This window comes from Homo sapiens, chromosome 9, assembly GCF_000001405.40.
Source record: "Homo sapiens chromosome 9, GRCh38.p14 Primary Assembly".
NCBI lineage: Eukaryota > Metazoa > Chordata > Mammalia > Primates > Hominidae > Homo > Homo sapiens.
In genome coordinates this window covers 61,138,649-61,162,653 of record NC_000009.12, presented here as the reverse complement: position 1 = coordinate 61,162,653, position 24,005 = coordinate 61,138,649, and positions in this window count along the sequence as shown.

The window sequence follows — 24,005 nt, the reverse complement described above, 5'->3', positions numbered from 1 at the left end:
AGCTTCTTTCTGAGGCCTGAAGGGATCTCACCTCCTTAAATCTCTGTTTCCCTACCCCTACTTCAGATATTATTGAGACATTATATTTTCTTCCTCTACCTTCAGAAACTTCAGTATCAACAGGTCCAGATCTGCCTAAGCCCTCAGATGAGTCTGCAAACAATCATTGTGTCAACATTTGACTCATGCCTTGCAGATGATCCCAGGCACCGCTGTCTTAACCTGTGAAAACTGCAAATTCTTGGCACAAACAACTTCTTCTGCACATCCCTCCTCCTCATACATACAGTAAGGGACTTGGCCAAATTCCAACACAGCCTCTATCAGCTCAGAGCCACGTCCCTACGATGCCCCATACCCCTCTAAAGCACCTGCCTGGGAACATTCAATTCTGCCAAAAGAATTTATTGTTTGTCCCACCCAAAACTTGACTATAGGCCCCTGACCTCCCATTTCTAAGAGCCTTAACTTTAGAAAACTTGCAATTATGGCCAGGCGTGGTGGCTCAAATCCCATCACTTTCGGAGGCTGAGGAGGGTGGATCTTGAGGTCAAGAGAGCAAGACCATCCTGGCCAACATGGTGAAACCCCGTCTCTACTAAAAATACAAAAATTAGCTGGGCGAGGTGACACACACATGTAGTCCCAGCTACTTGGGAGGCTGAGGCAGGAGAATCACTTGAACTTGGGAAGCGGAGGTTGCAGTGAGCCGAGATCGCCCCACTACACTCTAGCTTGGTGACAGAGTGAGATTCCGTCTAGAAAAAAAAAAAAAAACACAAAAAAAAACAGAAAACCTGTAGTTATAAACCTTTTCTCTGTCCCTTTAAATCTCCTATAACACAGAATGTCTTTCTCAAAGACTTAGGAGCTATCCCTTTGGACTATAAGGATCAAGAAGGATACAGGATTGTCTCCTGGTCTCTGTCTCTGCGTAGGAACCTAACTTTGATAAGCACTATTAGCAAACACAGATGGCCTCATCACATTGACCAACCTTTCCCCAAACATCAGTCCATGCTTTTCCTTTAGCACACTCCAACATTTGCAGAGCCTCTTGCTTTTTGTTTCAGTGGAGTTGAGGCTTTCTAACATACTATAAATTGATATGTCTACTTATTGATTAGAAGACAGAAATTAATCACTGGATTTCATTATCACGCTGACTTTTAGGATTAAAGGCAGCCTGTGGTTACAGATGCAACATCTTTACATTTCGAAGAAAAACAGGAGAGATTTGTCTTTGGCTCCTTTGGACCTCACTGAGTAATAGAAAAGAGAGAATTGAACAGGTTTGGATGATACAGCACAAGTCAGTTTAAAGTTCCAGGCAAAGAAAGCAACGGTTATTTTTCACTCCAGAGAGTGAATCATTCTTTGGGGCCACAAAAGAGAAGATTTGAAGAATAAGCAGGGACATCTAGAAGGTGGCTGAGTGTACTCCATCAGGTTAAATTAAGCTATTTTGTTGTTGTTGTTCAAATAGCTTCCCCACAGGGTACATTTCATATCTAAAGTGCTATTCCCTCTCCCATCATTTTATTACATACGCAATATCTGGCTGAGAACCTCTTTCTTGCCCTCCTTCTTACTGGTTAAGAACACAGACAGTCCTCTCTTTGCACAGCAGTGCAGGGCCATACAAATCACTATGTAAGCTAAAGATCTGTAAAGTGACCTAAATAATCCATGTGAAACATCGACTGTTCTGTGTCATTTAAAAATTTTGGCCAAAACATTAAAAATCTCTTACTGTTGGTTATAAATGTATAAGGAAATGAAACATAGTGAAATTAGTACTTTTTTTTTTTTGAGATGGAGTCTCGCTCTGTCGCCCAGACTGGAGTGCAGTGGCACGATCTCGGCTCACTGCAAGCTCCACTTCTTGGGTTCAAGCGATTCTTCTGCCTCAGCCTCCCAAGTAGTTGTGGCATGCCACCACACCAGGCTGATTTTTTCTATTTTTAGTACAGACAGGGTTTCACTGTGTTAGCCAGGATGATCTTGATCTCCTGACCTCATTATCCGCCTCAGCCTCCCAAAGTGCTGGGATTACAGGAGTGAGCCACCGTGCCTGGTTGGGAGTACTTCATTTTTACACTGTAATTTAAAACATTAAACAACAGCCAATTAAAGTGCTTTATTTATTTATAGACGTGTATCAAGCCCAGTTTGAACAGTGCTTGCCTCCCTCTTGTCGTATAGCTTATGATAAGGAACCAGCAGTGTTTCTATGCCTTGGTGAACTGTCGTGCTGTTTTCGGAACAGCATCTAACATTGTCAACGTCATGCAATATCTACAAGAGTTCCTTTAATATGAAGTTTGTTGCTGTCTTTGCCGGCATCACTTCCTCTGGGGCTTCTTCATCCTTTTCATCACAGCTGCGTTCCTCATTTATGTCAGAACACTGCGTTGCGCCAAGTTCCTCTTGCTGCGTTTCCTGTGGTGAGCCAATTCTATGATTCCATTTACATTGTATTTGAATACACTTCCAGGGTTATCACATTTTTTATTTCTTTGCCGCACATCAATGGTTGTTGACCAGTTTTTTCTTCTGATTATTCATATTTATAAATGTCACATGGGTTTCTCACTGGGAGACAAGGAGTCAACACGATTGCAGACTCTGCTGTCTGTGTGCGAACTAGCAGATGCACAGTGAGCAGTCACTGACAGGCTTTGAAGGAGGTGAATTGTGTCCCCCTAAAAAGATATGTTTGAAATCCTAATCCCCAATATCTCAAAATAATATGATCTTATTTGGAAATAGCACATTTACAGAGGTTCTCAAGTTAAAATGAGGTCATTAGGGTGGGTCCTAATCCAATAGACTAACTGATGTCTTATAATAAAGGAGAATTTGGATACAGCTCCAGACACACACACAAAAAAGACGATGTGAAGACACATAGAGAAAACAGAGTGATATATCTGTAGATCAGACAACACCAAGGATGGCTGGCAAACCCAAACAGGAAGGAGAGGGGAAGAAGGATTCTCCCCTAGAGCCAGCAGAGAGCGTGAACCTGCCAACACATTGATTTCTGACTTCTAGCCTCCACAACTACGAGTCAATACATTTCTGTTGTTTTAAGCAACCCGGCTTTTCATACTTTGTTGCAGCATCCCCACAAGATTAATACAGTCCCTAATCATGATGCTTGCCTGTTATTTACTCACATAGGCATTTGTGGAATTAAGAGCTGGGAATGAAGTTTGGATTTTATGTAGTTGCTCACAGTTAGCATATTGTGGTAACTGAAATTGTAACCACGTTTTTGGGAGACTAGTGCTATTTAACTAAACTATGTTAATTAAACCTGTGCATATTCAAATGTGCAAAGCCAGGACTGTTTTTACTTAGTTCAGGTATTTAGAGGGAAAGAATGTTTGCCTCTTTTCAGGGCCTTAGAGCATGCCCTGTGCCAGCAGGCCCCTTCCACAGCTACTTAACATCTCTTCTCATCTTGCCAGCCACCTCTCAACTCAGATGACCAGCAAGGCCATCTTTGACTATCAAAATGAAGTAGCCCCTCTCCGCTTTTGACTACGTTCACTTGCTTTATTGTCTTTATAGCATTTTTATTTACTAAAATAACATTTTTTTCATTACTTGATTTTTTTCTTGATTCAGTACTTCTAAAAAATGCAGATTAAAATTCCAATGACAAACCAAGTTAACTAATGTTAAAAAGTGTGATACTGGTCAGGCACGGTGGCTCATGCCTGTAATCCCAGCATTATTGGAGGCTAAGGCAGGCAGATCACAAAGTCAGGAGATCAAGACCAACCTGGCTAACACGATGAAACCCCGTCTCTAACAAAAATACAAAATTTAGCCAGGCGTGGTGGTAGGCACCTGTGGTCCCAGCTACTTAGGAGGCTGAGGCAGGAGAATGGTGTGAAACCAGAAGGCGGAGCTTGCAGTGAGCCGAGATCACGCCACTGTACTCCAGCCTGGGTGACAGAGCGAGACTCTGTCTCAAAAAAAAAAAAAAAAAAAAAACTGTGATACTATTAGGTATTGTTGAGAATATAGATCTATCAGAACCTTTAACTTCTAATGGGAGCATAAATCGGAAAACAGTTCATTTTAACTTAGTGTACAAATCTTTTGACACAATGATTTGAATGTTGGGTTTATACCTTAGAGAAAATCTAACTCTTATGTCCAGGAGACTCATACAAGAAAAGGACATCTACTTTTTGTAACAGAAAAAAATGGATAATAACCCCAATCTAATAAAATGGAATGCTCATTATAGTATTATCCTGTGAAGGAATACTCTAAATCAATGCACAGAAAGTACAGATAAGAATATCATAAGAATGAATCTTACAAATTTAATATTGAACCAAAAAGCAATTTCAGAAAAATATATTCAGTGTGATCCCATTTGTTTAAACTGAAAAACATGTAAAACAATAATGTTCAATGTCCTTTACTAATGCATTTATTTTGGCAAAATTATAAAGAGAAGAAATGGGACTAATTAACAGGACAGTGTTAAGGACTCTAAAAATATGGGTAGTTTTTGATTCTTAGGCAGGTAATGTGTACATCAGTGTTCATTTTATTATTTCTTACGCTGTCTTCATGACTTACACATATTTTGCTAGTTTTAAAACATAAGATGTGATAATAATCTAAACAGACCAAAGGAAAAAAATGAATATGTTAAAAAAAAGACAGAGAATGAGCCCTGTCTGATAGAAAGCATAACAAAGCAAGTAGAAGAACTCTCACGAATGCTTGATCCAATAAAGCTAGGTTTGTGATCCACAACACTTCAGCATTTTAATGTGATTTTTGATGTTTGCTTTTTGCAACGGTGATTCTCAGTTGCCTCCCTCCTATGTCTTTACAAGCTGAAATCAAGTGAAGCTACTTCTGACTTTTTCTAAAACTAAAACACAACATGAAGGTCTGCGTATTCTTTCACATGTGAACGTATGTGGCACTTTTCCATGATGCAACAGCAGCGGGTCTCTAGCTAAGCTACAGCAGCAGCTCTAAGAGGCAGAGGACCCTGAAATGAGGCTGAAAGAAAGAATAGTCCATAACTGACATCAGGCAGGCTGCTGTTGTAAGCAAAGAAAGGAGGCTCACAGGGGCGCGGACTCAGGCCAGGTCAGGCTATTGTGGGAGAACACGGAGCACACGTGTCAGCTGGAAAGGGGCCGGCTCAGGAGACAAAATAGGCACGAGAGGAAACCGAAAAATTGACATACATGACTATCCTTGTAGAAATGTATAAAGGTTTGGATTATTTTGCTTATCGAGTTATAATAAACTTATTCTAAAAATGTTTATGTAAAGTATTATGTACATTTTTGTTTTACCTTATAAAGATTATTTATATTTGAATTGTGTGGTTTTGGAATGACAGTATTTATAAAGTTGGTTTTGACATTCTCTACGATGCTTAATGAAGAAACTGACGTTCAAAGAGATTGGTTAATTCCCTGTGGCCAGTGGCTGAGCTGGGACAGAGTTCAGGTTTTCTGATTCTCAGCCTATGTTGTTTTCTCTTCATTTTAATGTGAACCTAAATAGGTATAGGATCTAGACAAATATGACATGTAGTGCCTTATTTCTTGTTTTCTCTGTAATGAATGCCAGGTGAGATAACTTTATTTACAAAAGCCCATCCAGTGGCTCAGGTTGCATCTGTAGTTGCCTTTGAATCATTTATTCAACGTCAGGATGGTAAAGTGAGGAGCTTCCCCAAACTGAAGCAGAGTGGCATTTGTCCCAGGTTGTAGAGTGTTCCCTGCCATAAATAAAGACATGCTGGTTCTTGTTATTTATACAGGCACTGGGGTTCCCATTAGCTCTTACATTTCATATGCTTAGAGCAAGAAGCTAGAGAGTGACTTAGGATACAGTGTAAAGATAGTAAATTAAGGCAGTTCTGCAAGATTTTTAGGACTTCTTTTTTTCTTCTATTCATCATTTATGAAGTATTCTTGCTGGAAATAGTTTATGTCTCTCTATCTTGCTGACTGATGAATACTCGGCCAGGATGCTAAAATGTGGTTTCATGAAGTATGTTGTGTTTCTGTCTGTTCTTGTTTCCTTCCTTGAAATGTGTAAAAGTGAAAAACATATTAATCATAAATCAAGCATTCATCATAAGCCTAAAAAAAGATAAAATAATCAGTAGTATCATTGACTAAAATTATTACTCACCAAAAGAAACTCACTCCAAAGTTAGCACAATACTAACAGAGAATCCTAGTTTTGCCAGGAATCACTGAGGCATAGTACCTCACATGGGAAACATGGGAAGTAAAACCACCTGAGGAGCCGCTTGATGGTGAGTCAGGCTGTTCCTCGAAGAGCAGGCTGTGACTGCCAAACTTTGTAGGTTAAGGAGTATTTATAATGATCTTTGAGGAAACTGCAACTGACAATTGAGGAAAAAAAATGTTAGTTCATGACTGCAAAATACATGACAGAATCACAAAAAGTATTTTACAAGTTTAAAAAACAAACCTGATGCTGATGCAAGGTAGGCGAACCCCAAAGTGGGGCTTAGCCTGCAAGGGTTCTTGGCTTCACCCAGGAAAGGATTCAAGGGCGAGCCAGTGGTAAGGTGGAAGAAAACACCTTTATCAAAGCAACACTGTTACAGCTCCTGTGGGGTCACAGCTCAGTGACTGCTCCCAGGGTTGCCCCATAGGCAGGGTGTCGAGAGTAGTGGCTGAGCCCAGTTTTGCAGTCATATGTATACCTACTTTTAATTACATGCAGATTCAGGGATGGTTTGTGCAGAAATTGTTAGGAAAAGGGTGGTAATTTTTGGGTCATCAGGTCATTGCCGCTGAAAGGGGTGGTAATGCCTGAGTGTTGCCATGGCAATGGTAAACTGACAGGGCACACTGGTGGGTGTGTCTTACAGAAAGCTGCTTCCGCTCTGTCCTTGTTTAGCTAGCCCTCAATCTTTTGTTTGTAAATTAGCAAGAGAGTCATGGTCTTGGCGTTTTATCCCAGAAGTACAGTGGACCCCAGAGCACTCTAGACCCAGGAGCCAAACCAAATCACAGCATCCCACAGTTGTGTCCAGCCCTCCATCACTGATTGGCTGCAATCCAACAAGTGGCCCAGAGGGGAGGGTTCATTGAAAGCTCTTTGCTAAGTGACAGGCCTTTAAGGAGGAAAAGGCTCTTAAAGATTGGTATGGGATGGGGGAAGTGTTTGTGGTCACCACGGCACCCCAAGGCTGTGGCCTTCTCTGAGCACCCTGAGACTCAGCCATGTCTTTCTCTCTGTTTTCCCACAAAACCAGCCAGTGCTAAAGCATATCCTCCTGGCCTACAAACAGTGGCCATGACTTCCAACTCATCCAGGCTACTTCTGATTTAGTGTTAGGCCGCCCACTTGATGTGTATGTTCCCATGCTGTGTCGACCCTATTACTTAATGAAAACACACAGCACTCGTTTGCTTCTCAACTTACTTCTCATGAAATATTACTACTCCTCCCCACCCAATCACAATCCTTTGCTGCCAAAAATCCCTTGCTACCCTGTACATTTTGCCCAATAAGGGAACCCCTCAGCACACACACACAATGGCCTACTCAGAAGGCTGAGTCAGCAGAATCACATGAACCAGGGAGTTGCAGGTTGCAGTGAGCCAAGATCGCGCCACAGTGCTCCAACCTGGCGACAGAGCAAGACTCTGTCTCAAAACAAACAAACAAACAAACAAACAAAAAACAAAAAAAATGCCTCACTCATCTCACTTATGTAATCATGACAGTACCATTAATTGTATTATCCCTATAATACAGATGACAGCTGCCAAAAATATGCAGAGAAGGGTTAATTAAACTGCATAACATTACTCAGAGAATGCATTCTTTTTATTCCATAGGTTTTTCTATTACAGTACTACATACACAGAGGCCTTCCATTGGAAATAACTTATAGGAATTATTGTAGGTCTCTTTGCACTTTCTTCAGCTCTTGGTTTAGGTCTCAAATTGTGAGTGATTTCTCTCTTTAGTGAAGTTGTAATGCAATTCATTACCATAGCAGAAAACACAGAAAATATTACCTATTTATTAACTGGAAATGCACTCACATCTTGTATTAGTCCATTCTCATGCTGCTATGAAGAAATATCCAAGACTGGGTAATTATAAAGAAAAGAGGTTTAATTGATTCACAGTTCCACATGGCTAGGGAAGCCTCAGGAAACTTACAATCATGGCAGAAGGCACCTCTTCATATGGTGGCAGCAGAAATAATGAGTTTTGAGCAAAGGGGAAGCCCCTTATAAAATGATCAGATCTCATGAGAACTCACCCACCATCATGAGAACAGCATGGGGGCAACTACCCCATGATTCAATTATGTTCACCTGATCCTACCCTTTACACTTGGGGATTATGGGAACTGCAATTCAAGATGCGATTTGGGTGGGGACACAGAGCCAAATCATATCATTCTGTCCCTGGCCCCCCTCCAAGTCTCATGTCCTCACATTTCAAAACACAATCATACCTTTCCAACAGTTCCCCAGAGTCTTAGCTCATTACAGCATTAACCCAAATGTCCAAGTCCAGAGTTTCATCTGAGTCAAGTCCCTTCCACCTATGAGCCTGTAAAATCAAAAGCAAGTTAGTTACTTTGTAGATACAATGGAGGCACAGGCATTGGGTAAATACACCCATTCCAAATGGGAGAAATTGGCCAAAACAAAGGGGCTACAGGCCCTATGCAAGTCTGAAATCCAATAGGGCAGTCATTAAACCTTAAAGTTCCAAAATGTTCTCCTTTGATTCCAGGTCTCACATCCAGGTCACACTGATGCAAGAAGTAAGCTCCCATGGCCATGGGCAGCTCCACCCCTGTGGCTTTGCAGGGTACAACCCCCTCCTGGCTGCTTTCATGGGCTGGCATTGAGTGTCTGTGGCTTTTCCAGGGGCACAGTGAAAGTTGTCAGTGGATCTACCATGCTGGGGTCTGGAGGACAGTGACCCTCTTCTCACAGCTCCACTAGGTAGTACCCCAGTGAGGACTCTGTGTGGGGGCTCCAACCCCACATTTCCATTCTGCACTGTCCTAGCAGAGGTTCTCCATGAGGGCTTTGCCCCTGCAGCAAACTTCTGCCTGGGTATCCAGGCATTTCCATACATCCTCTGAAATCCAGGTGAAGGTTCCCAAACCTCAATTCTTGACTTCTGTGAACCCACAGGCTCAACACCACATGGAAGCCTCCAAGGCTTGGAGCTTGGACCCTCTGAAGCAATGGCCTGAGCTGTACCTTGGCCCCTTTTAACTGTGGCTGGAGCTGAAGCATCTGGGAGACAGGGCACCATGTCTCAAAGCTGCATAGAACAGGGGGTCTTGGGCCCATGAAACCATTTTTCCCTCCTAGGTTTCCAGGCCTGTGATGGGAGAGGCTGCCAAGAAGGTCTCTGACTTGCCCTGGAGACATTTCCCTCATTGTCTTGGTAATTAGTATTCCACTCCTTGTTCTGCAAATTTCTGCAGCTGGCTTGAATTTCTCCCAAGAAAATGGGTTTTTCTTTTCTATCGCCTTGTCAGGCTGCAAGTTTTCCAAACTTTTATGCTCTGCTTCCTCTTGAACACTTTGCTGCTTAGAAATTTCTTCCACGAGATACCCTAAATCATCTCTCTCAAGTTCAAACTTCCACAGCTCTCCAGGGCAGGGGCAAAGTGTTGCAGTCTCTTTGCTAAAGCATAGCAAGAATCACCTTTATCCCAGTTCCCAACAAGTTCCTCATCTCCATCTGAGACCACCTCAGCCTGGACTTCATTTTCCATGTCACTATCAGCATTTTGGTAGAAGCCATTCAAGTCTCTAGGAAGTCCCAAACTTTCCCACATCTTCTTGTCTTCCAAGTCCTCCAAGTCTCTAGGAAGTTCCACACTTTCCCACATTCTTCTGTCTTCTTTTTTTTTTTTTTGAGATGGAGTTTCGCTCTTGTTGCCCAGGCTGGAATGCAGTGGTGCAATCTCTGCTCACTGCAACCTCCACCTCCCATGTTCAAGCCATTCTCCTGCCTCAGCCTCCCAAGTAGCTGTGATTACAGGCATGCATCACGATGCCCAGCTAATTTTATATTTTTAGTAGAGATGGGGTTTCACCATGTTGGCCAGGCTGGTCTCAAACTCCTGACCTCAGGTCATCCACCTGCCTCGGTCTCCCAAAGTCCTGGGATTACAGGGATGAGCCACCACACCCAGCCTTTACTGTCTTCTTCTGAACCCTCCAAACTATTCCAACCTCTGCCTGTTGCCCAGTTCCAAAGTCACTTCCACATTTTAGTGTATCCTTATAACAGCACCCTATGTCTGTGGTACCAATTTACTGTATTAGTCTGTTTTCATGCTGTTATGAAGAACTCCTCAAGACTGGGTAATTTATAAAGAAAAGAAGTTTAATTGACTCATAGTTTCACATGGCTGGGGATGCCTCAGGAAACTTACAATCATGGCCAAAGGCACCTCTTCACAGGGTGGCAGCAGAAACAATGTGTTCTGAGTGAAGGAAGAAGCCCCTTATAAAACCGTCAGATCTTGTGAGAACTCACTATCACAAGAACAGCCTGGAGAAAACCACCCCTGTGATTCAATTATGTCCATCTGGTCCCACCCTTGACACATAAGGATTATGGGAATTACAAGATTACACATTAATCTTAAATTACACATTAATAAGTGTGTAATGAAACATCCCCTTTTTTTATTTGAGTTCATTTCAATAGATATGGAAATAATAGAAAATGCATCTGACATCAAATTCCTGGGAAGTACAGGCAAAAAAAAAAAAAAAAAACAAAAAAAAAAACAGATCTTTAAAGGTATTTGAATAAGTAAATGTTGCAGCCAAACCATATCACTTGTTAAAAATGCACGTTAACCATTGAATCAAAACCATATATAAGCTTAGATAATTCAATTTCAACCAGATTATTCCTTTTATTCTTTAAATGATGGAGAACATTATAGCCATAGGCTCGTGCTGACAATTTTTCCTTAAATGAATGAAAAGATGAATTTATTTTTCTCAAAGAATTCTGTACCATTATAGGAATAAAAGATCAGCAGTTGTAACAGGGAATGGCCAAAAAGCCTGAAATAACATTGCTGTTAAGAATTAGCTGTTACAAAATCGCCCCAAGAAATCTCAGTGGTCCACAAACTTCACATGGTTGAAGGCCATAATTATTATAAAAGTTGAACTATGTTAATTCAGAGGTCACTGTCATTATTACTCTCAAGGATCCAAGAGCCATGCGTAATCCCAGAACATTGCGTACCTAATCAGGAATGGAGAAGTAACGTCCTTTTGAATTTTATACCTCTGGGGCTGCCCATAAAAATCTTAGGATTTTGAGCTCTTTGAGGGTCATGATTTTTACCTCTATTCTCTTTGTGTCCACAAACATCTAAGATATCAGTAATGTTATTCACTAATTTGCTGACAAAGAGGAAATTGAATAAAATTTAAATATATTTACTCTGAAAGTAATAAAATTTAAATATATTTACTCTGACTATATGATCTTTAGAATAAACTAATTTTTCAGTGATTCATTCTGCACAATTTTAAATCTTTTTCATAGTAACCTCAGTTTGCGTGACTTTAAATGGGAAAACTCACATTTTAAATGTATAATGAAACATCCTCATTTTTGATTTGAGTTCATTTCAATAGATATGGAAATAATAGAAAATGTCCCTGAGGTCAAATTCCTGGGAAGTAGAAGCAAAAAAATACCAGATCTTTAAAGGTATTTGAATAAGTAAATGTTGCAGTCTGTACTTTATCAGTAAGCTATGATACAAAAAACAATGCATGGCAGTTGCTTGTCAATTTTGTGATTTATTCAGAAACATACATCTCTGCATACACTTACAGTTTTATACAGTAGTGCAAAACGTCAAAAGCACTGATGTTGCTCAAAGGAAATGTTAAGGAGCTAACTAAGGCTCGCTGCAAATTCCTTCACAAACCCGTCCAATCCTGTGAGCGTCGAGCGGCCTTCACATCACAGCCTGCATCCTGACAGGCCTGTGAGACCCATCCCGCTTCATGGAACATGAGTCAGCAGCTCAGGGAAGGACAAGGACATCTACATAATTGGCTTGAAATATTCAACTTTTCAAAATTTTATATTTTCATACATATAAATATATATTCTAAAAATGTATTTTTGTTTTTCTATCCGAACAGAAGTGCAATAATTCTTTAAAAATACTTCTAAACAGACCGGGGCAGTGGCTCACACCTGTAATCCCAGCCCTTTGGGAGGCCGAGGCAGGTGGATCACAAGGTCAGGAGATTGACACCATCCTGGCTAACACGGTGAAACCCTGTCTCTACTAAAAATACAAAAAAATTAGCCAGGTGTGGCGGCGGGCGACTGTAGTCCCAGCTGCTGGGGAGGCTGAGGCAGGAGAATGGCGTGAACCCGGGAGGCGGAGCTTGCAGTGAGCCGAGATCGCGCCACTGCACTCCAGCCTGGGTGACAGAGCGAGATTCTGTCTCAAAAAAAAAAAAAAAAAAGATAGAAAATAGCATTAACCTTGAAGGACGCTTTACGCCAAATGGACCTAATAGACACATACAGAAACTTCACCCAACAGCAGCAGAATACACATTCTTCTCAGGGACACATAGAACATTCTGCAGGATAGACAACAGGTTAGACCACAAGATGAATCTTTGCAAATTTAATATTAGAATCATATCAAGTACCTTTTCAGACAACAATGATATGACACTAGAAACCAACAATAGAAGGAATTCCAGAAAATGTACGAATACGTGGAAACTAAGCAACATGGTGGTGAACCACCAATAGGTCAATGAAGAAATGAAAATTAAAAGAATTAAGCAACATACTCTTGAACAACCAATAGGTCAATGAAGAAATTAAACAAGAAATGTAAAAATATCTTGAGAAAAACAAAAATGGAAACACAACATACCGAAACTTATGAGATACAGCAAAAGCATTTCTAAGAGGAAAGTTTATAGCAATAAACATCAACAGCAAAAAGAAGAAAGATCTCAAATAAACAACTTAGTATTATGCCTCAAGGAAATAGAAAAAGGATATCAAATTCTTCCAATGTTAGCAGAAGGAAATAAAATAATAAAGATCAGAGCAAAAATAAGTGAAATGAAAACTAGAAAATGACACAAAAGATGAACAAAACTAAGTTTCTTAAAAATATAAAACCAATAATCTTTTAGCTAGACTAAGAAAAAAGGAGAGAAGACTCAAATAAATAAAATTAGAAATGAAAAAGGAGACACTATAACTGATACCACAAAAATACAAAGGATCATAAGAGACTGTTACAATTACATGCCTTTACAAAAATCATTTTTTCATTGGCAACAACATTGGAAAATGTTACGCTAAAAGAAATAAGCGAAGCCAAAAAAGACAAAAACTTCATGATCTCAATTATATGTGGAATCTAAAACAATCAAACTGAAAGAAGCAGAGAGCAGAATGGTCATTAGCAGAGGCTGGAGGTGCGGGGTGGAATGGATAGATATTGGTCAAAAGGTACAAAGCCTCATTTATACAAAAGGAATAATAAGGGTTTTTTTTCTTTGAGATATATTGCAAAACTTGGTGAAAATAGTACATAGTAAAGAATTCTACATTTTAAAAATCACTAAGAGAGTAAATTTCAAATGCATTCCCCATTAAAAATGACAAGTATTTGAGGTGGTGGATGTTAATTAGCTTGATATAATTATTCCAAATTGTATTCATAAATTATATCATCATTTTGTACTCCATAAATATACACAACTATGATTTGTCAATTTACAATTTAAAAATAAAAATCAAAGCACAAAACAAAACAAGAAAACACAATATGTGTGTGTGTACCTATGCATGTGTGCGTCCATACAAGTGCACACACACACCCCCTTCACCTCCATTACTTTCCAAAGTGGACAAATGTGTAATTATTTCTAATTAATCATTAGAAATACATCAAGGAACAAGTACAATAAGGCAAGTAAATTTACTGATATCCCATCAGAGATAAGTGGGACATTGCAAATTAACAACAATGGAGGAACAAACCACAGTTTATTTTCTTACTTTATGAGACATCCTTTTTGAATTTTGAAAAATTATAGAGAAGTATCTTTAATTTGGTGTAGATGCTTAGTTATTCAAAAGGGAACTTAGAAAAATTAGAAGCAGGCCACTTCATTATTTTTCACAATAATAACCAATATGAAACTTTTCCTGGAAGACTAAAATCTTACCACAAAGAAATTAAGCAAAAACATTGGGCACTTCTTATATAAATACAGCCTGTTTTGAAATGGTATGTTTTTTAATTTTTACAAACATTTTCACTTGCAGATAATTTCGCATGTGCATAAAAGTTGAAAAAATATGCAAAGAACTCCCATATACCTACCCTTTACCCAGGTTTATCAATTGTTAACAGATCATCACACTTGTTTATTCTAGATAGGTATTGATATAGATATACACACACATTTTTCTGAATTATCTAAGAGCAAGATGCAGACAGTATGCCCCTTTATTTCTATACACTAGTGTAGATTTCCTAGGAACAAAGTCATTCCTTAAAGGAGGAAATTCAGTGAGGCTTTCTGCAGTAAATGACATTCTGAGCCAGCTGATTTGGCCTTGTGACCAATATGAGGGACTATTTAACTTTGTATTTTTTTATCTCCTTCTTTCTTTACACCCAGTTATATTGTTTTCCATTTCGTTTACTCGCATAAATGTCAGATTTGTCCATGTGATTTATCAGGTTTATCAGAATATCAACTTGAATCTTTTCTTTTCTCTAACATTTATCTAAATATCTCAGGAGACTCTCATCCTTCCTTCTCTCCTTTATTCCATTTGCAAAGTTAAAAAAAAAGCCTCAATTATGGCATTTCAGTATTCATAGTAGTACAGATAATACATTTATATCAAGGAAAAGAAACGCATTTTAGGCCAGGCGCGGTGGCTCACGCCTTTAATCCCAGCACTTTGGGAGGCCAAGGCGAGCGGATCAAGAGGTCAGGAGATGGAGACCATCCTGGCCAACATGATGAAACCCCGTCTCTACTAAAAATACAAAAATTAGCTGGATGTGGTGGCGCGTTCCAGTAGTCCCAGCTACTCCGGAGGCTGAGGCAGGAGAATTGCTTGAACCCGGGAGGCGGAAGTTGCCGTGAGCCGAGATGGTGCCATCGCACTCCAGCCTGGCGACAGAGCGAGATTGTCTCTCAAAAAAAAAAAAAAAAAAACGCATTTCAAAGGTAAGGAGACATAATATAGAATTTGTACACCAGATTCTGAACTTATGACTATTTTTAAAGGATAATTTGAAAGTTATACCAGAATATGCTGCTTCTTGATTTGGTCTTATTTTGCTCTTTTTATTTCTTGTTTTTGTTTGTTGTTTGAGGTAGGAATTTAGTTGGTTGAGGACTTTATCACTTCTAATATAAACATTTAGTAATAAAAATTTTCCTCTCACCTCTGCTTCAGCTGCATCTTACATATTTTCATATACCTTATTTTTATTTTAAATCAGTTGTATGCACTTTAGTATATTGTCAACAAGATAATATTTCTAAAATAAAAACCAAGACATCAAGGGTTTACTTTCTGAACATTTCTTAACATTAAATCAGCACAGCATCTTCCCAGATCTTTTCGTTTTTGGATGGCTCCATACTTTATTCCCTACCCACTTCCTCTTTCCTTTAAAGAATGATTAACAGATTCCATAGACAATATCAAATGAAACCCGAAACATAACCAAAGTAATTGGAAGTAAAAGAGAAGGAAGGGTAAGATAGTTAACATAAACATGAACCAGTTTATACACTTTTTAATAATGTTTTTCTTTTACTTAAAAAATAAGTAGAGTGTAAAGGTAGTCCTTTGTTTAATCACTGAATCTCAAACTGTTTACTACAGAATAAAACAAGTAAAATAATCATGATCCATTATAAGCTTAATCAAGATGAGCACTGTTTAATCCTGATTAATTTATAACTAATTTTCTGCTGCTGGTACACTTTTTAAAAACAGCTTTGTTTAGCCATAATTTAAATTTTGTGTAATTTACTCACTTAAAATGTTTCATACATATTAATATATTCATTCAGTTGTTCAATCATCACCAAAGTTTCATTTTATAACATTTTTGGTACCCTCAAAGAGTCCCAGTACCCATTAGCAGTCACTTCCCATTCCTCCTCCACCTTACATCATTAGGCAACCACTGTCTAAACTTGCCTGTTTGGGAGATTTTATATAAACGGAATAATACAAAGTGCACTCTTTGGTTCTGGTTTCTTTTATGCAGCATGATATTTACAAGAATATAATATTTTCACCCAGGTTGCAGCATGTGTTAGTACTTCATTCCTTTTGTTGGTCAATAACATGATATCATATATACGATATACGATACACCATATTGTATTTATCCATTCATCAGTTAATTAACATTGGGGTTGTTTTTACTTTTTGGCTATTATAAGTAATACTGTAATAAATATTAAAATTTTTTAAGAGCTTGTGAAGAATGGCACTAATTCTTCTTTAAATGATTGGTAGATATTATTCTAGAAATGATATCATTTCATCAACATTATCTAATATGTTGACATTCTTTTTTTCATAGTACCTTTAACAGTTCTTTTTATTTCTATAAGGTCAATAGTAATGTCCCTCTTTCGTTCTTAATTTTAGTAAGTTGAATCTTTCTTTCTCCCTGTAAGTGTAGCTAAAGTTTGTTAATTTTGTTAATCTTTTTAAAGACCCAACTCTTGGTTTTGTTGATTTGCTCTACCATTTTTTCTATTTCTTTAATTTCTATTTCAATGTTTATTATATCCTTTCTTCTGCTTATTTTTCATCATGATCTCATCTCTGACTCATTGGTTATTTGGAAGTATGTAGCTAATTTTTATAAGTTCTGCTTTTCCCAAAGTTCTTTCTGTTTTTAATTTCTAATTTAATTCCACTTTGATCAAAGAACAATCATTTTCTACTTTTTTTGAGGTTTGGTTTTTGGCCTAGCATGTGATGTATTTTAGGAACTGTTCCATGTGCACTTGAGAGTAATGTTCTGCTTTTGGGTGTACTGTACTGTCATCTAGCTAGTTTATACTGTTACTCAAATCCTCCATATTCTTGCTAGCATCTATTTAGCTTTTCTGATTATCGAAAGTGAGATACTGATGTCTGCTACGATTACCATCTCCAACTATTATTGTTGAATTCTACCTTTAATTCACCTTTAATTCTACCTTTAATTTTTGCTTTGTAGATTTTGGAAAAATTTCGTTCAGTGCACATAGGTTTATAATTTTTATACCTTCTTGATATATTGTCTCTTTAACATTACAGCATGTCCTTTTTTATCTCTGATGTATCAGTCTGTTCTCACAGTGCTAATAAAGACATACTTGCGACTGGGTAATTTATAAACGAAAGAGGTTTGACCTGGCTAGGGAGGCCTCACAATCACGGTGTAAGGCAAGGAGGAGCAAAGTCACATCTTACAATCATAGCGGCACGCAAGAAAGCATGCTTTATAAAAGCATCACATGGCCGGGCGCTGTGGCTCACGCCTGTAATCCCAGCACTTTGGGAGGCCGAGGCGGGCGGATCATAAGGTCAGGAGATCAAGACCATCCTGGCTAACACGGTGAAACCCCGTCTCTACTAAAAATACAAAAAAATTAGCCGGGCGAGGTGGTGGGCGCCTGTAGTCCCAGCTACTCGGGAGGCTGAGGCAGGAGAATGGCGTGAACCCCGGGGGGCGGAGTGTGCAGTGAGCCGAGATCGCGCCACTGCACTCCAGCCTGGGCGACAGCGAGACTCCGTCTCAAAAAAACAAAAAAAAACAAAAACAAACAAAAACAAACAAACAAACAAAAAAGCATCACATAACTGGTCTGAGATAGTATCTCATTGTGGTTTTGATTTGCCTTTCTCTAATGACCAGCGATGATGAGCTTTTCTTCATATGTTTGTTGGCTGCATAAATGTCCTCTTTTGAGAAGTGTCTGTTCATATCCTTTGCCCACATTTTGATGGGGTTGTTTGTCTCTTGTAAATTTGTTTAAGTTCCTTGTAGATTCTAGATATTCGCCTTTTGTCAGATGGACAGATTGTAAAAATTTTCTCCCATTCCGTAGGTTGCCTGTTCACTCTGATGATAGTTTCTTTAGCTGTGCAGAAGCTCTTTAGTTTAACCAGATCCCATTCGTCTATTTTGGCTTTTGTTGCCATTGCTTTTGGTGTTTTAGTCATGAAGTCCTTGCCCATGCCTATGTCCTGGATGGTATTGCCTAGATTTTCTTCTAGGGTTTTTATGGTTTTAGGTCTTATGTTTAAGTCTTTAATCCATCGTGAGTTAAATTTTGTATAAGGTGTAAGGAAGGGGTCCAGTTTCAGTTTTCTGCGTATGGCCAGCCAGTTTTCCCAATACCATTTATTAAATAGGCAATTCTTTCCGCATTGCTTGTTTTTGTCAAGTTTCTCAAAGATCAGATGGTTGTAAATGTGTGGTGTTATTTCTGAGGCCTCTGTTCTGTTCCATTGGTCTATATCTCTGTTTTGGTACCAGTACCATGCTGTTTTGGTCACTGTAGCCTTATAGTATACTTTGAAGTCAGGTAGCATGATGTCTCCAGCTTTGTTCTTTTTACTTTTGCATCTTTTAAAGAAGCTGAGGAAGAAAGGAGGGCAAGTATACATTTGTAAAGTTTGTGATATTAATCTTCTTTATCTGCCATTTCTGGTTCTCTTTATTTTTGTACACCTGAAAAACCATCTGGTGTCAACCTCTTGGTTGGTCCAATATAGATTTGCTTCTGCTCATATCCTTTGTGCCATTATTGTCAAATATATTACATTTCCATAGGTTACGAATCCAACAATCTGTGTATATACATATCATTTTATGCAATTGCATTTTAAATCATTTAAGGAAAGAAGACAAAATATCCAATTATACTCTAACAATTATCTACATAATTCAATTTACCAGCCTCTTTGTTTTCTCATATGGGGTTGAACACGTATCAGGAATCAGCTTGGAAATCTTTTGTTAGTGTTAATAAATATCAAGATAAATCTTCCAGCAACACATTTTCTCAATTTTTGTTTATATGAAAATGTCTATTTTTTTTTTTTTTTTTTCGAGACAGAGTCTTGCTCTGTTGCCCAGGCTGGAGTGCAGTGGTGCGATCTTGGCTCACTTCAAGCTCTGCCTCCCAGGTTCACGCCATTCTCCTGCCTCAGCCTCCCGAGTAGCTGGGACTACAGGCGCCCGCCACCACGCCTGGCTAATTTTTTCTATTTTTAGTAGAGACGGGGTTTCACCATGTTAGCTAGGATGGTCTCGATCTCCTGACCTTGTAATCCACCCACCTCTGCCTCCCAAAGTGCTGGGATTACAGGAGTGAGCCACCACGCCCAGCCAGAAAATGTCTATTTAATCTTAAGTCTTAGCATATAGTTTTGCTAGATATAAGATTCTTGGTCTCTTATTTTCTTTAATCACTTTTAATATGTCATTCCACTTTCTTCTGCCTTCTATTACTTATGATGAGCAATTAGTTTTTAATCTTATTGGAGTTTCCTTTATGTGATAAATCTATATATGAATATCAATTGGATCCTGTTGGTGAACTGTGTAGTTCATATTTTTCTATATCTATGCTAATTTTCTGACTAGTAATTCTGTCAGCTAGTGAGAAGGTTGGAATCCCCAACTATAATTGTAGATTTGTCTATTTCTTCTTTCAGTATTCTCTGCTTTTGTTCCATGTATTTTAAAATTCTGTTGGTTTATATACATTTAGGATCATTGTGTCTTCATAGTAGCTTGGCTTTTAAAAATATGTAATATCTTTCTTTGTCTTTAGTAATTTTCCTTACTCTGAAGTCTCTCCATCAGATATTAATATAGCAATTCCTGCATTATTTTGTTAATATTTGCATATTATGTCTTTTTCATGCATTTAATTTCAATTTACCTATTTTATTAAATGCAAAGTAGGTTTCTTATAAACAGCTTATGATTAGGATATTTTGAAATCTACTTTGCTAATCTCTCACTTTTTATTAATGTATTTAGATAATTTTAAAAAATAAGATGCTTCATTTTTTCCTAAGTTTTAGGTTTACAGAAAAAAAGATGAAAGAAAAAAACAGTTCCCGTATACCTCCCTGCAGTTTCTCCTATTTTTAGCATCTTACATGAGTGTGGCACATTTGTTAGAATCGATGACCCAGTATTGATACACCATTAGTTACTAAAGCCCATAGTTTATATTAAGCTTCACTCTTTGTGATTGACGTTCCATGGGTTTGGACAAATATATAATGGCATGTATCCAAAATTACTGTGTCATACATAACAGTGTTACTATTCTGAAAATCTCTTGTGTTCAATTTACTCCTAGTCCCCTTTCCCTCAAACTCCTGACAATCACTGAGCTATTTACTGTGTCTGTAATTTTTCATTTTCCAGAATGCCATGTAGTTGGAATCATAGAGAAATTAGTTCGTTAGACCTCGAACTTCGTTCTTCTCCTTCAATATTATGTTGGCTGTTCTGGATCTTTTGTCATTTCATATAAACTTTTGAACCAGTTTGTGGATATCCACTTAATAATTTGCTGGAATTTTGATTGGGGTTCCATTAAATCTACAGATCAAGTTTTGAAGAAATGACATTATGACAATATTGAGTCTTCTTATCCATGTACATAGAATATCTCTCCATTTATTTAGATCTTCTTTGATTTCTTTCATCAGTTTGTAGTTTTTTCTCACATAAACTTTGTACATATTTTATTCTATTTATACTCCATTTATTTAGATCTTTGATTTCTTTCACCAGAGTTTGTAGTTTTCTCATATAAACCTGGTACGTATTTTATTCAATTTATGCCTAAACATTTCTCTTTTCAATGCTAAAGTAAATGGTATTATGCTTTTAATTTCAAATTCCAATTGCCCATTGCTGGTATATCAGAAATCAATTGACTTTTGTACATTAACATTATACTCTACAACCTTACTATAACCACATGTTAGTTCCACAAATGTTTTGGTTGATTTTGGGGGGATTTTTTACATAAACAGTCATGCCATCTGTGAGCAGAGTCTTATTTCTTTCTTCCAAATCTGTTTAACTTTTATGTGTGTTTCACGTTTTATTGCATTAGCTAGGACCCTCAGTATGATGTTGAGTAAGGTGAGAGCAGGCATTCTTTTTTTTTTTTTTTTTTTTTTGAGACGGAGTCTCGCTCTGTCGCCCAGGCTGGAGTGCAGTGGCGGGATCTCGGCTCACTGCAAGCTCCGCCTCCCGGATTCACGCCATTCTCCTGCCTCAGCCTCCCAAGTAGCTGGGACTACAGGCGCCCGCCACTACGCCCGGCTAATTTTTTGTATTTTTAGTAGAGACGGGGTTTCACCGTTTTAGCCGGGATGGTCTCGATCTCCTGACCTCGTGATCCGCCCGCCTCGGCCTCCCAAAGTGCTGGGATTACAGGCGGGAGCCACCGCGCCCGGCCGAGCAGGCATTCTTGCCTTGTTTTTCATCTTACCAGGAAAGCATCTAACTTCTTACCAGGGAATATGATGTTAGCTGTAGGTTTCCTATAGACATTGTCACTTTGAGGAAGTTTCCCTCTATTCCTAATTTCCCGAGAGTTATCGTTAATGGATGTTGGATTTTGTCAAATGTTTTTCTGCATCTGGTGATGTGATCTTGTTTTTTTTCTTTTTCTTGTTAATGTGATGAAATATATCAGTTTATTTTCAATTGTTGAACTAGCCTTTCATAATTAGGATAAGGTCCACTTCATCATCTTTTTACACATTATTGGATCCAATTTGCTAATACTTTGTTCAGGATTTTTGCTTAATGAAAGATAGTGCTCTTTGTTTTTTCTTTCTTGTAATGTCTTTGGTTTTGGTGTATGGTAATAATGACCTCATAGAATAACTAGGGAAGCATTCTGTATGCTTCTGTTTTTTGGAAAAGATTCTGGAGAATTGTTATAATTTTTCTTTTAAGTGTTAGAATTTACCAGAGAACTCTCTGGGGCTTGGTACTTTCTATTTTATCAGCTTATTAATTATTGATTCAGTTCCTTTGATAGATATAGGACAACTCAGATTGTCTTTTTCTCCTGGTGTGAATTTTAGTAGATTGTATATTTCAAAGAAGTGCTGCATTTTATGTCGGTTATCAAACTTATGAAGTTGTTAATAATATTTCTTTATTTTTTTAAATGTTTTAATGTCCATAGTATCTATAGAGGTGGTTCTTCTTTAAATGTTGATATTAATAATTTGTATTCTTTTTCTCTCTTACTCTGGATAGAGATTTACCAATTTTATTTATCTTTTCAAAGAATCAGATTTTTATTTGTTGATTTTTTTCTATTGATTTTTCTGTCTTCAATTTTATTGATTTTTATATTTTTCTTCTCCTTATTTTGAGTCTAATTTGTTCTTCCTTTACTAGCTTCCTAAGGTGAAAAGTTAGATTATTAATTTTAGACCCTCCTTGGGATGCAACATGTATATTCAATGCTATAATTTTGGTCTAAGCATTGTTTTACTGCATTTCACACTTTCATAAGATGTAAGCAAAAATGAAAAGCTATGACCACCCTCTATAACTTACCGCAGTAGCTTTTCCATCCCCTTAATTTTTATCTCTATGGGTCTTCAAATTTAAAGTTGTATTTTCATTTTCATTTAGTTCAAAATATTTTACAATTCCTCCTGAGACTTCCTTGATCCATTTTTTATTTAGAAGTGTGATGTTACGCCTTCATGTATTTTAAAGTTTTCCAGTCATCTTTCTGAATTTGATTTCTAGCTTAATTTCACTGTAGTCATAGAGCATAATTTGCATGACTTACATGCTTTTAAATAAGTTGCTTTTTAATGGCCTAGATAGTGATGTGTCTTTGTGAACATTCCATGGGAGCTTCAGAAGCATGTGTATTCTGCTGTTGGGTGAATTATTCTACACATGTCAATTGGATTAATGTCACTGCTGACTTGAATTACAATATGTCTTCCCTAATTTTTTGCCTGCTTAATCTGCTAATTACTAGTAGAGAGATGTTAAAGTCTCAAAGTACAGTAGTAAATTCATCTATTTTTCCTTGAAGTTCTATTAGTTTTTGCCTAACATATAGTGATGCTCTGTTTTTAGGTGTGTAAACACTAAGGATTGTTATGTCTTCTTGGAGAACTGACCGCATTTTTATTATGTAATTACTCTCTTTATTTCTGATAATTCTTCTTGTTCTGAAGTGGGATGTGTCATTAATAGAGCTACTCCTGCTTTCTTTGGATTACTGTTAGCATGCTATTGTTGCCAGTGGGCTGTTTCAGGTTCTTGACTTTGCTGCACAAAAAACTTTGAGAACGAGTCCAAAGTAACAGTAAGCAAAAGAGTTTATTGCAAAGCAAAAGTACACTCTGATAGCTGATCAGAGCAGGCTGCTCAAAGGTGAGACAGCCCTGTCTGATGCAGGGGGATCGCCCTTTATGGGAGATTTACATGATTATTCATGGAGGGGTGGGAAGGGGTGTTCTGATGAGTATGTTATGGGTAGTCCCCTGGCTGCACAGGTGCTGTGGTTGTACATGCTAGGACTTAACATTGCATGTATCATTAGCATCTTAAATCTCCACCCAGGGGTGTTTTTCTTTTACTATTATAGTGAATATAGGTCAGTCCAAGGACACTAATCATGGGTTTCTGTGCTTGTGTGAATTTGGGAATTCTCCCTTCTATTTTTCTACCTCCTTGCTGCAGGATGTTCTAACCCTGAGCCCATGATGTGATTTGTGCACTGTCGGGTAGTTTATTCTCTCCATCTATTTAGCAAGTTTGTTCTCCTTTAAGGGAGGCTATGACCACCCTTTATAATTTACCTCAGTATCTTTTCCAT